Raw genomic sequence first — 13754 nt, 5'->3', positions numbered from 1 at the left:
TCATTCGCTTACAGTATGAAGCGCCTAGATTTATCACAGTAATATTCTTATTTGCTTTCTGTAGACCATGCAGGGCTCATTATATTTATGCTGATGGCCTTGTCATCACTGCTGATGATCAAAATTCTCTTTGTTGGACTTATGTGACTCAGTAACCTTCAATAATTGAGGATGGAACATGATATTAAGGGCTAAGGGGAAAGTAAGTGTTTACAGTGAGATCTTCTCTCCCCTAATAAGAGACCAAAAGTTTGTCAGAAATGATCAGCAGGTTTTCTTGTAACATTAAAAGGAGTAGAAATAAGCGGACCCTCTGCTTTCATAAATCACATGAGTATCCAATAGTCTCCTCTTCACCCTGTAATTTGGAATGAAAAAATCTCTTGTGCATAAACTGCTTTTCCTGAATCTAATACAATTAATCCAGAAGAGAAGTGGGAATGGATATCAGGTTTTTTTTCCTTCAAATTTTGTTGTTAATTAAAAAAACAATTATCAAGGATTTCTAATTACTTTATAAGTGCTGTATGGCCTGTACCTGCTCCTTAGCAAATTAGTAAGATAATGCTGGAAACATCTTATTAAACAGAATTACCCTTTCTGTTCTTCCAGATTCACACATCTACTTAATGGGCCTCTTCTTATGCAACACCTTTGTGAAACATTTATATCTATTAAGTTATCTCACAGTTATTAGCATTGTGCATTGGTTTCTAATTTTTTTTTTTTTACCCAGGACCTAATAAATTGATAGACTACTATAAGGTTGAGTAGAAACAGACACAAACTCTTCAGATCTTTAAAAATATTCCTCTAGAGTAAGTGGGTGCTCTGGAAATTATAAACTCTGATGTAGGGTATAGAGACTCATTGAAAAGATGATACCTAAAGGAAAATAGGGCCCAGAGGTCCACAGAAGTTTCGTGGGACAGAATGGGAATCTCTGTAATCAGGGACTGACAGGTGAAAGGCTATCCTATGGTCTGTATGTCTCCTCCAAAACTCATGTTGAAACTTAATTGCCATTTTAACAGTGTTGAGAGTTGGGACCTTTAAGAGGTGATTAGGTCATGAGGACTCTGTTTTCATGAGTGGATCAATGCTATCAATACAGGAGTGGGTGCATTATCTTGAAAGATTAGCCCCTTTCTCTCTGGTCTTGGTGCTTACTTACCCTTCTGCCATGTTATGACGTGGCAAGAAGACACTTACCAGATGAGGCCCCTCAATCTTAGACTTCCCAGCCTGTACAACTGTGAGCCAGGTAAGTCTCTTTTCTTCATAAATTACGTAGCCTGTGGTATTCTGTTATAGCAACAGAAAACAGACTAAGACAAGCTAGAAGCAAAATGTGAGCCATTGGAGAAAGCTGACAAATGGAGCACATGAATGGGAGGGGTGACTGTGGACATCAGATCTGTCTGTGATATGCTGCTCAAAAAAACAGCAGATGGGGATGCAACTACTTCAGGGTTTCACAGAATATGTCAAGGTCTGCAGCCCATCCTTTTCAGTTTAAGCAGAGTCAAGCTGAGAATGGAAAAGCAAGCTCCTGAAATATAGGGAATCATGACATCCTAAGTTTTAAACCATCTTTGAGAAGAGCATTGTACATCATATAATCTATCCTAGAACTATATGATGTTGGGGTTTGAATAGGTAGTTAAAGATTTTTTGTATTTTATAAATTTGAAGTAACTTTCATTTCATCTGGGTATATTTTTGTTATATTGTATGGCAGTTGCCAAATGAATCATCATTTCACGGTGATGGCACTCACTGCAATTTTTGTTGTTATTCAGTACTCTGTTGTTCTAGGAGCTGTGTCAAGATCACAATTTTGTTACCACAAATTGTCATATGAGGTTTGCTAGCTCATTCAGGAACACTGAGTGTATGCAGGGGAGCTGGGAGTAAGCCTAACATTCCCTCCCCTCTTCCCTACAGCTGCAGTTATCAGTCCACCAGGCCGTGAGTATCTAACAGAGATCAATCTGCAAATGCTTTGATGGCATGTATGCCAAGTCAGTATTTACCAGAGTGAGAGTCTCATTTTGGCATGCATCACTCATGAAATATTTGTAGACTGTGGGGAAGTTTATGGAAATCCTTTTATTTGTAGGAATGAAAAAAAATTCATCATGAATACATAGTACTAGTAGGGATTTTGAGAGAACACTGGGTCCAGGTTTGAATTTCAAATTAGACTCAGAAAAATTTCACTGAGATATAGAAAAACACCAAATAGAATTTAAGAATTGTAAAGCACACACATTGACTAAAAGGTAAAGGATTTGAGATCATCGGACAAGAAGTGAAGGTTGAAAAGTAGTTCAGTAAGTGATAGGATGAGTAGGTGGCCCTTACGAAGATCTCCCTTACTGGGGCCATTTAACTGAGGGAGTGATTGGATGGATGGATGTCGCCTATGAAGGGTTTCTTTGTGCCTGAGCACAGCTGGAAGGGGGTTTTCTCCCTGTGTCAGTGGGATGTACAAGGGAGAGCAGAGGCAGACTGGGGCGCACTGAGCAGTGGCAGAGTGGGGCGCATTGAGCAGAGGCAGAGTGGAGCAATGGCAGAGTGAGGCGCGTTGAGCAGTGGCAGAGTGGGGCACACTGAGCAGACGCAGAGTGGGGCGCGTTGAGCAGTGGCAGAGTGGGGCGCATTGAGCAGTAGCAGAGCGGGGTGCATTGAGCAGTAGCAGAGCGGGGCGCATTGAGCAGAGGCAGAGTGGAGCAGTGGCAGAGTGGGGCGCATTGCCAGACAGGCAGCTCACGCACAGAACTGGAGGAGGAGCATGGGCATCGGGCGGATCGGGAGGACGGGCGGCAGGAAGTCCCGGGCACCCAGAAAAGCTCCCAGTGGACTCTGCAGGTTGCTAATGAGATAGGAATCCTTTGTCACAGTAATTAGGTTCATAAATCCGCAAGTTTCTAAATTTGCTGGAAGCAGTAATAAAAGAAGTCTCTGCTACTTTGAAATAAGTTTTTCTTCCTTCATTGTCTTCCACCAATGGACCTTGGGCAGCAAGAAGTTAGGTCTGATCAAGGTTGTCTGAAAGAGATGAGAGAGGGGAAATGAAGGGAGCACAAGACATACTGGATCCCCTTATACGGTTTATCTAAGGCCGAGCAGTTCATATAAATTACCTGGAATGTACTTTATCTCCATCCTCCAACACAATTCTTTTAAGGTTTTCCATGGAAAGTCTTCACTCTTTATAAATTTATCCCACTAGCATACATTTGTTTTTATTCTCTCTTTATTTCACATACCTATTAGGCTATCCTTCTGTTTGGGGTTGGGCCCCATCTTGTTCTTTGTGACTTTCTTTATTATGCTAAGCTATTCTGGACACAATAGATTCTCAATAAATGTTTATTTAATAGATTAATAAGATTGTATTTGTATTCCTCCTTACATCTCATCTAAAAAGGAGGTGTTTTCTTATTATAAATGTAGTGTTAATTGTTAAAAAAATTGAGATTTTTTTTTTAATGGCCTCCTTAATGCAGGCATAGTTTGTTATTGGGGCTTTTTCATTACATCAGGAAAAATACTTTTAGGTATTTCCCTTCTAACCAAGAAGTGTACTAAAATATAAATTAACTTTGACTTTATAATACAAATATATTTTATGGAAATCTTGTTTTTTTCAGAGCCTATAAAGGTATGCTGCAGTAATATAGAGTAAGTCCAAAGTTGTTTTTATCCCAGTAAAAACATTTTCTTCAAAATGCACTTATTTCTGGGTTGTAATATTTTCATTTATAGGATAAGGATAATAATACCTCTTTCACTGATCTCTTAAATTTATTGTGATAAATAATGAATTAAAGTTATAAGATGTCAAGCCTTATGCAAACATTAGAATATAAGGACTCTTCGTTATTTCATTTATTCACTCAGTGCATTTTAAAGCACTTGTTTGTAAGAAAGCTAGTAGGTGCAGGTGTTATAGGGCAGGGGTCTCCAATCCCTGGGCCCAGGTTGATGGCCTGTTAGGAACTGGGCTACACAGCAGGAGGTGAATGAGCAAAGCTACATCTGTATTTACAGCTGCTCGCCATCAATTACATTACTGCCTGACCTCTGTCTCCTGTCAGCTCAGCAGTGGCATTAGATTCTCACAGGAGCATGAACCCTAATGTGAATTGTGAATGCAAGGGATCTAGGTTGTGTGCTCCTTATGAGAATCTAATGCCTGATGATCTGCCACCACTTAGTTGCAGGAAAACAAGCTCAGGGCTCTCACAGATTCTACATTATGGTGAGTTGTATAATTATTTCATTATATATTACAATGTAGTAATAATAATAATAGAAAAAAGTGTACAATAAATGTAAAGCAATTGAATCATCCTGAAACTGTCCCCTCTACCCCACCACCATCCCCCAGTCCATAGAAAAATTGTCTTCCATGAAACTGGTCCCTGGTGCCAAAAAGGTTGGGGACCACTGTAGAGGATTCGAAGATACATAAGGACCTAATTTTTCTCCTCTCCAGACAGGTGCCTATTCATTTTATAACATCCAAAATTGTTAGCCTAAGTAGATAATCTTACGTGTAAACCAGCAGACCATGTAAGAGAGAGCAGATTTCAAAATTTAGTAAAAAGGTAAGTCTGGCTTCATGATATAAGTCTCTGGAAGGAAGAAGGCTTCAGGAAGTTAGGAAAATTTTCAGCGATGGTCTCATAGCTATAAAGCTGCAGATTAAAGCACTGAGAAAGAAAAGGTGGTAGTGCCCAGAGAAAACTATCTTCTGATATTTGAGGGCCCATACTGTGCAAAACACATTTGATTCATTCTCTGTGGTTGGCTCCATGGGGCAGAGTAGGAGCAATAAAGGAAAATTACAAGGGCACAGATTTCAGAATATTACAAGGGAGAAATTTCTAATGTGCTAAGCTATCCAGAACTAGAGTAGGCTGCCTGAGGGGTGATGAGTTTCTTGTCACTGGAAGAGTTCAACCGCAAAATGCACTACCTTTTGCTTGAATGGGAGGCCTTTACGGTATTTTACAAAGCTGAATTACTGATACAATAAGTCTACTCTCCAAGTTGGTCTCATTAAGCTGTGAGCTTTCCTTCTCCTGCTGCCATTTTGAGATCTCCTGTTCCAGCTCCTTCCTCCCGAGAAGAAATTGGAGAAAATGAAGGATAAGCCTCCTTTAATATTAATTCCGTATTAAGTGTGGAGAGTTTCTCTATCAAGAGGAGTTTTCTATTTAAAGATAAACCTAGGGTCACAGATTTATGTTTTTACATATCATTATTTTCATTTTAAATGGAAACGGAGGTCTTTAATGTGGCACTCATATTATTTCTTTTCATTTTCCAAATATAAGTAAATAGCGATGGAGTGAGTGTTTTTGCCTTGATACAGCAATCTGTTTTCCTCCTCTGTTCTCAATCAGACAGTTTTAAATTTTGGTTAGCTGCGTAAACACACTGTGATGGACGACATTAATAAATAAGTATTACACTGGCTCTGCTTGAGCAGTCCTTCTTCATCTTTATCTTTTTTGTTTAAATCCTGTGGGGTCTTAGAATGCTCTTTATGGAGATCAAGAAGATTAAGCAAAATTAGCTCTCAACTACATAATGGGCTTCTCTCTCCTGGCATGTGTCTCCCCTCTCTGCACGTGGTGACTCCCCCTGATATCAACAGGATATTCACAGATGGAGGGAAAAATTATGTTCTGGGAGAGCAGGGCACACAATGAGATTTCAGCTTTCTCTTTCGTTTCTAGCAGTATATAGCTTGAATAGGAATCCAAAATGAAAATGATAAGTAAATCAGCTAGCTACTTAAAGATACTTTCAAATTCATCTGTTTCCCAGGGCAGACTGACCTGTTCAATCTTGAAGCTGGAAGTATCATCCTAGTCTTGAGGACATCTAAACCACAGCTTCATAAACAGATGATACCTTAAAAGAGGTTATTTGCTGGGAGAACTATGCTTTACCCATGTCAAACAGTGAAATTCATGCTGTTTATAAAGTTCTCCAGAGAGAGACTGGCTTACTCATGGGCAGAGTCGGCAGCTGCCTGCATGGAATAACTTGAGAATCAATGAGAGGCCCCCATGCTTTAAAATCCATCTCCCTCATCAGTCTGCAGTGGTGCCTGAAATTTCCACCATTACTATCATTTCTTAAAAGCCTTTAAGCGGACATATGCCCTATTATCTTGAGGGAGGTAGCATTAATTAACTACGTAACATATTAGAATGGATGAGTTTTCTTGTTAATAACCCATTACAACCATTGACACCCAGTAAAGATCAGGGCTCTGAAGAAATAGAGGCAAGTGCAGGTAAGTTTTAATGGAGAATTAGAAGACAGTGAATCACAGTGTATGTGTTGGGGTATTATGCAGGTCTTATGTGGGTGTGGGGGATCTAATATAGGGATAACCAGTGGGGAGAAAGAAGACACTGAGCATTTTATCTCAGATAGTGGGGTGTGCATGGCCCCCAAATAAGAGAAATGGAAAACAAAAGGAAATGTGTGGATGACAAAGTTTATTTACCTCATAATATTGCTAGCCCTGGCCTTAGTCCTCCAGAAAAGTTCATTTTGTTAATCACCACTCGTACAGTGATTTTAAACTACCTTATATGGTCTTATATGAGGGTAGAGGATATTTGTTTAATTCTAAATCAATGGAAATGGAGAACTGGTTGTTATAATTTGGATGGCAATATTTCACTAACTTAATTTATTGACTTATAACATCCACTGGCTAAATAAGCATATTTATTTACTGGTTTCTTCAGAAGTATTATTCAAAAACATTTAACCATTTAATAATATGAAGCATTTATAGAGTTTAATTAGAATCAGAGAATTTTAGAGCTGGAATTGACGGTTCGAAATCTTTTGGTTTAACCCTATTACTTCAGAGATGAAAGAGATTACTTCAGAGACTCATTGTCATAAAGTGTCTTTATTTATTCCTTCATTTAGTCTATAGATCTTTATTCAGTATTGACTATGTGCTAGGCACAGGGATATAGTGGTAAGCAAAAATAGATCTATTCCTCACGGAGCTTATACTTTAGTGGGGGATGAAAACATTAATCAACTTATCACAAAAATATGTATAAAATAAAAATTATGATGAATGTTATTAAATGATATGCTTTATGAGAGAGTATTATAGGAGAGTGTGACCCCAATAGGAGTGGTGTTAGGAAAACTTCTTTGTGGAAATAATGCTTGAATAATATCTGAAGGTTGAACAGGGCTTCACTGAGCAAATAGGAGAAAGGAGAGCTGTCTAGGGAATAGGTAGAGAGTGTGCAAAGGCCCTGTTACAGGAAGATCATGACCTGTTTAAGAAATTAACAAAGGACCTGGGTGGTTTGAGCTGAGAGTGCCACTCAGAGTGAGTTTTGAGATGAGGCTGTAGAGGTAAACCAAGGCTGCTCATGTAGGGCTCTATTCAGGATTTTGGACCTTATCCTGGGAACAGTGCAGAAGAGACTGGAAAGGGATTCCTATGGATTAGGAGGCTAAAACAGTGAGTGAGCCAAAAAAATCTCAAAAGCCCAGCAGTGACGTTCCCAAGGCTGAACAACTGTGGTAGAACTGGCATTACTTCTAGGTTCCTTGATGAACAGGACTGCGTTGTTCTTACTCATAACAGGTATTTGTTGCTTTTTGAACTCTGCATAATCCATTTATCCCACTTCCATTTTATTTGGGGGCTATTCCCCTTCTCACAACCAGTTCCTGTGATTTGAGTAGAGCTGACTCGATTCTCAGCTCCAAGGATGACATGTAATTCAGACCTGACCAATGAGACTCTGAATCTCTTAGGACCATAGGAATTGGTTCAGAAATAGGCATGTGATCCCACCATAGAGAATCAGATGTCAAGAGACTGTTAGGACTTCTAAGACAGAGGAAAATAGTGAAGTGGGGCCTGTGGAAGTCATCCTAACTATAGGTGGAGATGAAACTGAAGCTGACACAGCAGAAGCCAGATGGAAGTGGTGGAAAGAAAACATTTATTAGAGCTGGGTTTCCTTGGTTTATCTACCATGTGCATTCAAAAGAGTTCTAATTAATACAGTACTAAATTTTTTGCTCCTTGTTTATGAAACAGCACCTAAGAAGGAGAAACCTATGATTTTAAGTACAACGTTTACAGAATAATGTCACTGTAAAGTCAGCTATGGTGGGTTCATTTGGGTCTGACACTAGGAACTTCAGTATTAAGATATTTTGAAGCTGAAAAAGGTCAAATTTGCCCATGATGTTTTGCTTTAAATAAAAGTGGTTCCCCAATAAATAGTTGTACTCTGGAACATTTTTGCCATATATAATATCTAGATACATGTTATTGATTAAATCTAATGTCATCAAAGGAAAATAGGCAATTGACAGATGTCACTCAAATAACAGATTGACATATGGTATGCAAGCAATTTTGATGCTCCTTTAAAGAGACCAGTTCCTAAAATTCAACAAACCTTCATGCTAAAAACTCTCAATAAATTAGGTATTGATGGGACGTATCTCAAAATAACAAGAGCTATCTATGACAAACCCACAGCCAATATCATACAGAATGGGAAAAAAACTGGAAGCATTCCCTTTGAAAATGGGCGCAAGAGAGGGATGCCCTCTCTCACCACTCCTATTCAACATAGTGTTGGAAGTTCTGGCCAGGGCAATCAGGCAGGAGAAGGAAATAAAGGGTATTCATCAGGAAAAGAGGAAGTCAAATTGTCCGTGTTTGCAGATGACATGATTGTATATCTAGAAAACCCCATCGTCTCAGCCCAAAATCTCCTCAAGCTGATAAGCAACTTCAGCAAAGTCTCAGGATACAAATTCAATGTACAAAAATCACAAGCATTCTTATACACCAATAACAGACAGAGAGCCAAATCATGAGTGAACACCCGTTCACAATTGCTTCAAAGAGAATAAAATACCTAGGAATCCACCTTACAAGGGATGTGAAGAACCTCTTCAAGGAGAACTACAAACCACTGCTCAACAAAATAAAAGAGGATACAAACAAATGGAAGAACATTCCACACTCATGGGTAGGAAGAATCAATATCGTGAAAATGGCCATACTGCCCAAGGTTATTTACAGATTCAATGCCATCCCCATCAAGCTACCAATGACTTTCTTCACAGAATTGGAAAAAACTACTTTAAAGTTCATATGGAACCAAAAAAGAGCCCGCATTGCCAAGTCAATCCTAAGCCAAAAGAACAAAGCTGGAGGCATCAAGCTACCTGACTTCAAACTATACTACAAGGCTACAGTAACCAAAACAGCATGGTACTGGTACCAAAACAGAGATATAGACCAATGGAACAGAACAGAGCCCTCAGAAATAATGCTGCAAATCTACAACCATCTGATCTTTGACAAACCTGAGAAAAACAAGCAATGGGGAAAGGATTCCCTATTTAATAAATGGTGCTGGGAAAACTGGCTAGCCATATGTAGAAAGCTGAAACTGGATCCCTTCCTTACACCTTATACAAAAATTAATTCAAGATGGATTAAAGACTTACATGTTAGACCTAAAACCATAAAAACCCTAGAAGAAAACCTAGGCAATACCATTCAGGACATAGGCATGGGCAAGGACTTCATGTCTAAAACACCAAAAACAATGGCAACAAAAGACAAAATTGCAAATGGGATCTAATTAAACTAAGGAGCTTCTTCACAGCAAAAGAAACTACCATCAGAGTGAACAGGCAACCTACAGAATGGGAGAACATTTTCGCAACCTACTCATCTGACAAATGGCTAATATCCAGAATCTACAAAGAACTCAAACAAATTTACAAGAAAAAAACAACCCCATCAAAAAGTGGGTGAAGGATATGAACAGACACTTCTCAAAAGAAGACATTTATGCAGCCAAAAGACACATGAAAAAATGCTCATCATCACTGGCCATCAGAGAAATGCAAATCAAAACCACAATGAGATACCATCTCACACCAGTTAGAATGGCGATCATTAAAAAGTCAGGAAACAACAGGTGCTGGAGAGGATGTGGAGAAATAGGAACACTTTTACACTGTTGGTGGGACTGTAAACTAGTTCAACCATTGTGGAAGTCAGTGTGGCAATTCCTCAGGGATCTAGAACTAGAAATACCATTTGACCCAGCCATCCCATTACTGGGTATATTCCCAAAGGATTATAAATCATGCTGCTATAAAGACACATGCACACATATGTTTATAGCGGCACTATTCACAATAGCAAAGACTTGGAACCAACATAAATGTCCAACAATGATAGACTGGATTAAGAAAATGTGGCACATATACACCATGGAATACTATGCAGCCATAAAAAATGATGAGTTCATGTCTTTTGTAGGGACATGGATGAATCTGAAAACCATCATTCTCAGCAAACTATTGCAAGGACAAAAAACCAAACACCACGTGTTCTCACTCATAGGTGGGAATTGAACAGTGAGAACACATGGACACAGGAAGGGGAACATCACACACCGGTGACTGTTGTGGGGTGGGGGTAGGGGGTAGGGATAGCATTAGGAGATATACCTAATGCTAAATGACGAGTCAATGGGTGCAGCACACCAGCATGGCACATGTATACATAGGTAACAAACCTGCACGTTGTGCACATGTACCCTAAAACTTAAGGTATAATAATAAAAAAAAAAGAGGTTATCAAAGTAGGCCCTAATCCAACATGACTGGTGTCCTTATAAAATGAAGAAATTTGGACATAAAGACACAAAGGCAAGACAATGAGAAGTCTTAAGGAGGAGATGGCCATTTACAAGTCAAAGAGAGAGGCCTGGATTCTCTTCTCACAGCCCTCAGGAGAAATCAACCCCAGCAACATCTTGATCTCAGACTTCCAGCCTTTAAAGCTGTGAGAAAATAAATTTATTTTGTTTAAGTCACTATAGCAAACTAATACTGAAGGTTGGCAAGAGAAGGAAGGGAAGGAAGAATTAAGGAGAGATAATGCAATCTATGATGATGTTATTCTGCTTATCATTTTAAAAATTAACATAGTGGGCCGGGCACCGTGGCTCACGCCTGTAATCCCAGCACTTTGGGAGGCTGAGGCAGGCAGATCACCTGAGATCGGGAGTTTGAGACCAGCTTGACCAACATGGAGAAACCCCGTCTCTACTAAAAATACAAAATTAGCCGAGCGAGGTGGCGCATGCCTGTAATCCCAGCTACTCGGGAGGCTGAAACTCTGTCTCAATAAAATATAAATAAATTAAAAAAAACAAAAAACAAAAACACCAGTTCCTTCACACTCAATAAATCATTGCAATATTTCTATTATAACATTTTGCCAATTATTATTTGATGTTGTCTCCTCAAATTAACCCATGAAAAACCTTTTCTTTTGTTCTCATTTAACTTTAGTTAATCCAGTTAAATGATACATAGTTTGTTTATGTTTTTTTGGAGGTTTTTACGATTTTTATTTTTATTTTGTATCAGTGATCAAATAGCTTAATAGTTTATAAGCTATAATATTTATCTTAAAAGAATAGTGTATAATTTAATTAAAAACGCAAGATAAAACTTTTGTGGGGAATTTTTGAAACTGTAGAAGACCCTTCCACTAAGTTCTTTTTAAAAAAATTAAATAAAATTCTTCTTCACCTTCTAAATGATACTATTCCACCCAGAACAAAAGCACCCATTCAAAAATGTTAGAATTAAATAGGTTTTAAGAAATGTTGCCCTTGACTGCTCTGATTGTAGTTTTCACAACCAGGCACTGGTAGGTTGTAGTCACAGCTTACGGCAGGCTCTGTTTTGAGCTTTGACACACCAGAGTTACAGAAGGGAGTGGAGCTAAATGTTTATCAAGTTGGAATGTTGAGGATCAGTCTCAGTATAATAGACACTAATACTTCCTTTTTGCATTTATCTTTTCTGCTAGAATCTGAGTTCTGTGGCACCTACAAGAGAAATGGCTGCTTATATGTGACAACCTGCAGATCTGAGCAGCAGGGGAACAAAGGCAGGGCCAACACAATGGCACTGGTCCCGTTGAGTCCTGGGGAGTCCTCAGCTTTCAGGAGTCCCCTGAATATGGGGCAACCCCACAGGTCTGAAATACTACACTTTGACTAAAAATCTTAATGTTGGGCTGGAAGAGATGAACTTCTAGGGCTGGTAGAAGGAGTTGAGAATGAGGTGGCAGATTTTCCTCCTTTTTATGATCCCATGAAAACAGAATAATTTACCCGTGTAAGACCTAAGGAAATGTACATTATTTGAGAATGTGCACAGCTGAATAAATGGTATGATGGTTATGCCAATATTTAGTAAAACTAAAGGAGAAAAAGAAACTGTAAACAAATATAAGGACCAGCCATATATATATATATATATATATATATATATATATATATATATGACAGAATATACATTTATATTCACTCATTATACATTAATGTTCATGCTTCATCTGTTGTGTACAAGGTACATTGCTGGCTTACCATAGGAGAAAGTGAAGGCTAATTAATCAGAGAATTTTACATTAATGTACATGTAATCTAATAGGTATGGCAATAAAAAGTTATAAAATCTACTTCACGAACAAGTTCAGGAATAATTTTATGTTCAGAGGACTTCTGGCTGGTATGATCAAGAAAAGCTCTATGGAAAAAATGATATTTTAGCTGTGACTTGATGATTGTGGGAAATTTGTAAGGTCATTCCTGTTGAAGGAAATAGCATGGATAAAGTTATGCAGGCAGAAAAGTGAGAGTTCAGATAGTGAACAGCAAGTAGTTTATGAATAGAAACACTAAACTATAAATCAGAAATATAAAATAAATGAAGGCCAAATCATGGAGGTACTTTAAAGCTATTTAAAGGGTTTTGTAGTTTCTCTTTGAGGTAATGGGGAGACATTAACTGCTTCAGAGCATGAAGAAAAGACAGTAAGGTTTAAGGAAGGCTAAGATGGTTAGGGAATGGGAGGCTATTGCATTTGTCCAAGTGGAAGAAATGGAAAGAAGGCATGGTTGGGAGAGAGTAAAACAATGAACAGGCCTCGGCAAGTGATTGAGTGTGAGGCCATAGGCCAAGAAAGAAGTAAAAGATGACTTTGAGGATACAAGAAGGTTACTATTTAAAAAAGGAAATTCAGAACAAAAAGCAAATACAGTAACAGAAAGGAATCAAAAGAATGTAATTCTCTTAAAGATTCTAGTCAATTCTTCATAGACATAGAACCTCTGAATAAAACTATGACTCAATTTTTTTAAATGTATATCCTACTTAAGAGTGCTGTGCTGAACACCATCCTATGATAGAATCATTGTGATTATGATACAATCATATTTGCAAAGTTCTAATTCAAATAAACTGATTTTTTCTACTCTGCTTGTGCCAGCTGCCTGCACCAAGTGAAGAAATGACCTCTTTCTTTCAAAAACTATTTATTACAGATGCAAGACCTACATATTTTATTTCCATATGTGCTCTGTTGATCCATGGAAAATTTCAGCTGTAGGATTTCTTTTAGTAGAGATAAAAACCAATAATGTATGAAATAGACATCATCACCAACATAATATTAAAAAATATGAGGCAAACAGTATATTCAACATTATAGAAATGACATATATAATATATATATTAAAACGCAGTTATTTCTTCCAGTATTAGTAATGTCTTGAACTCTCACCAAGCATGTAGCTAACCACCCAAGAGTTTTAAGCTATGGATTCAAAATAATA

General features: G+C 38.2%; 1 long non-coding RNA gene across 2 annotated transcripts in view; it reads left to right on the top strand.

The window, feature by feature from the left end:
• LOC105379083 (uncharacterized) overlaps positions 1-12113 on the top strand; it is a 55405-nt gene extending 43292 nt beyond the window's left edge. For both annotated transcript variants that reach the window (XR_007058869.1, XR_948569.3), the window contains exon 3: positions 11945-12113. This is a non-coding gene — a long non-coding RNA (uncharacterized LOC105379083). The remainder of the gene's footprint in view (positions 1-11944) is intronic.
• The last annotated feature ends 1641 nt before the right edge of the window (positions 12114-13754 follow it).

Source organism: Homo sapiens, chromosome 5, assembly GCF_000001405.40.
Source record: "Homo sapiens chromosome 5, GRCh38.p14 Primary Assembly".
Lineage (NCBI taxonomy): Eukaryota > Metazoa > Chordata > Mammalia > Primates > Hominidae > Homo > Homo sapiens.
Note: the sequence above shows the minus strand (reverse complement) of the source record. Positions and strands in the feature narration are given on the sequence as shown.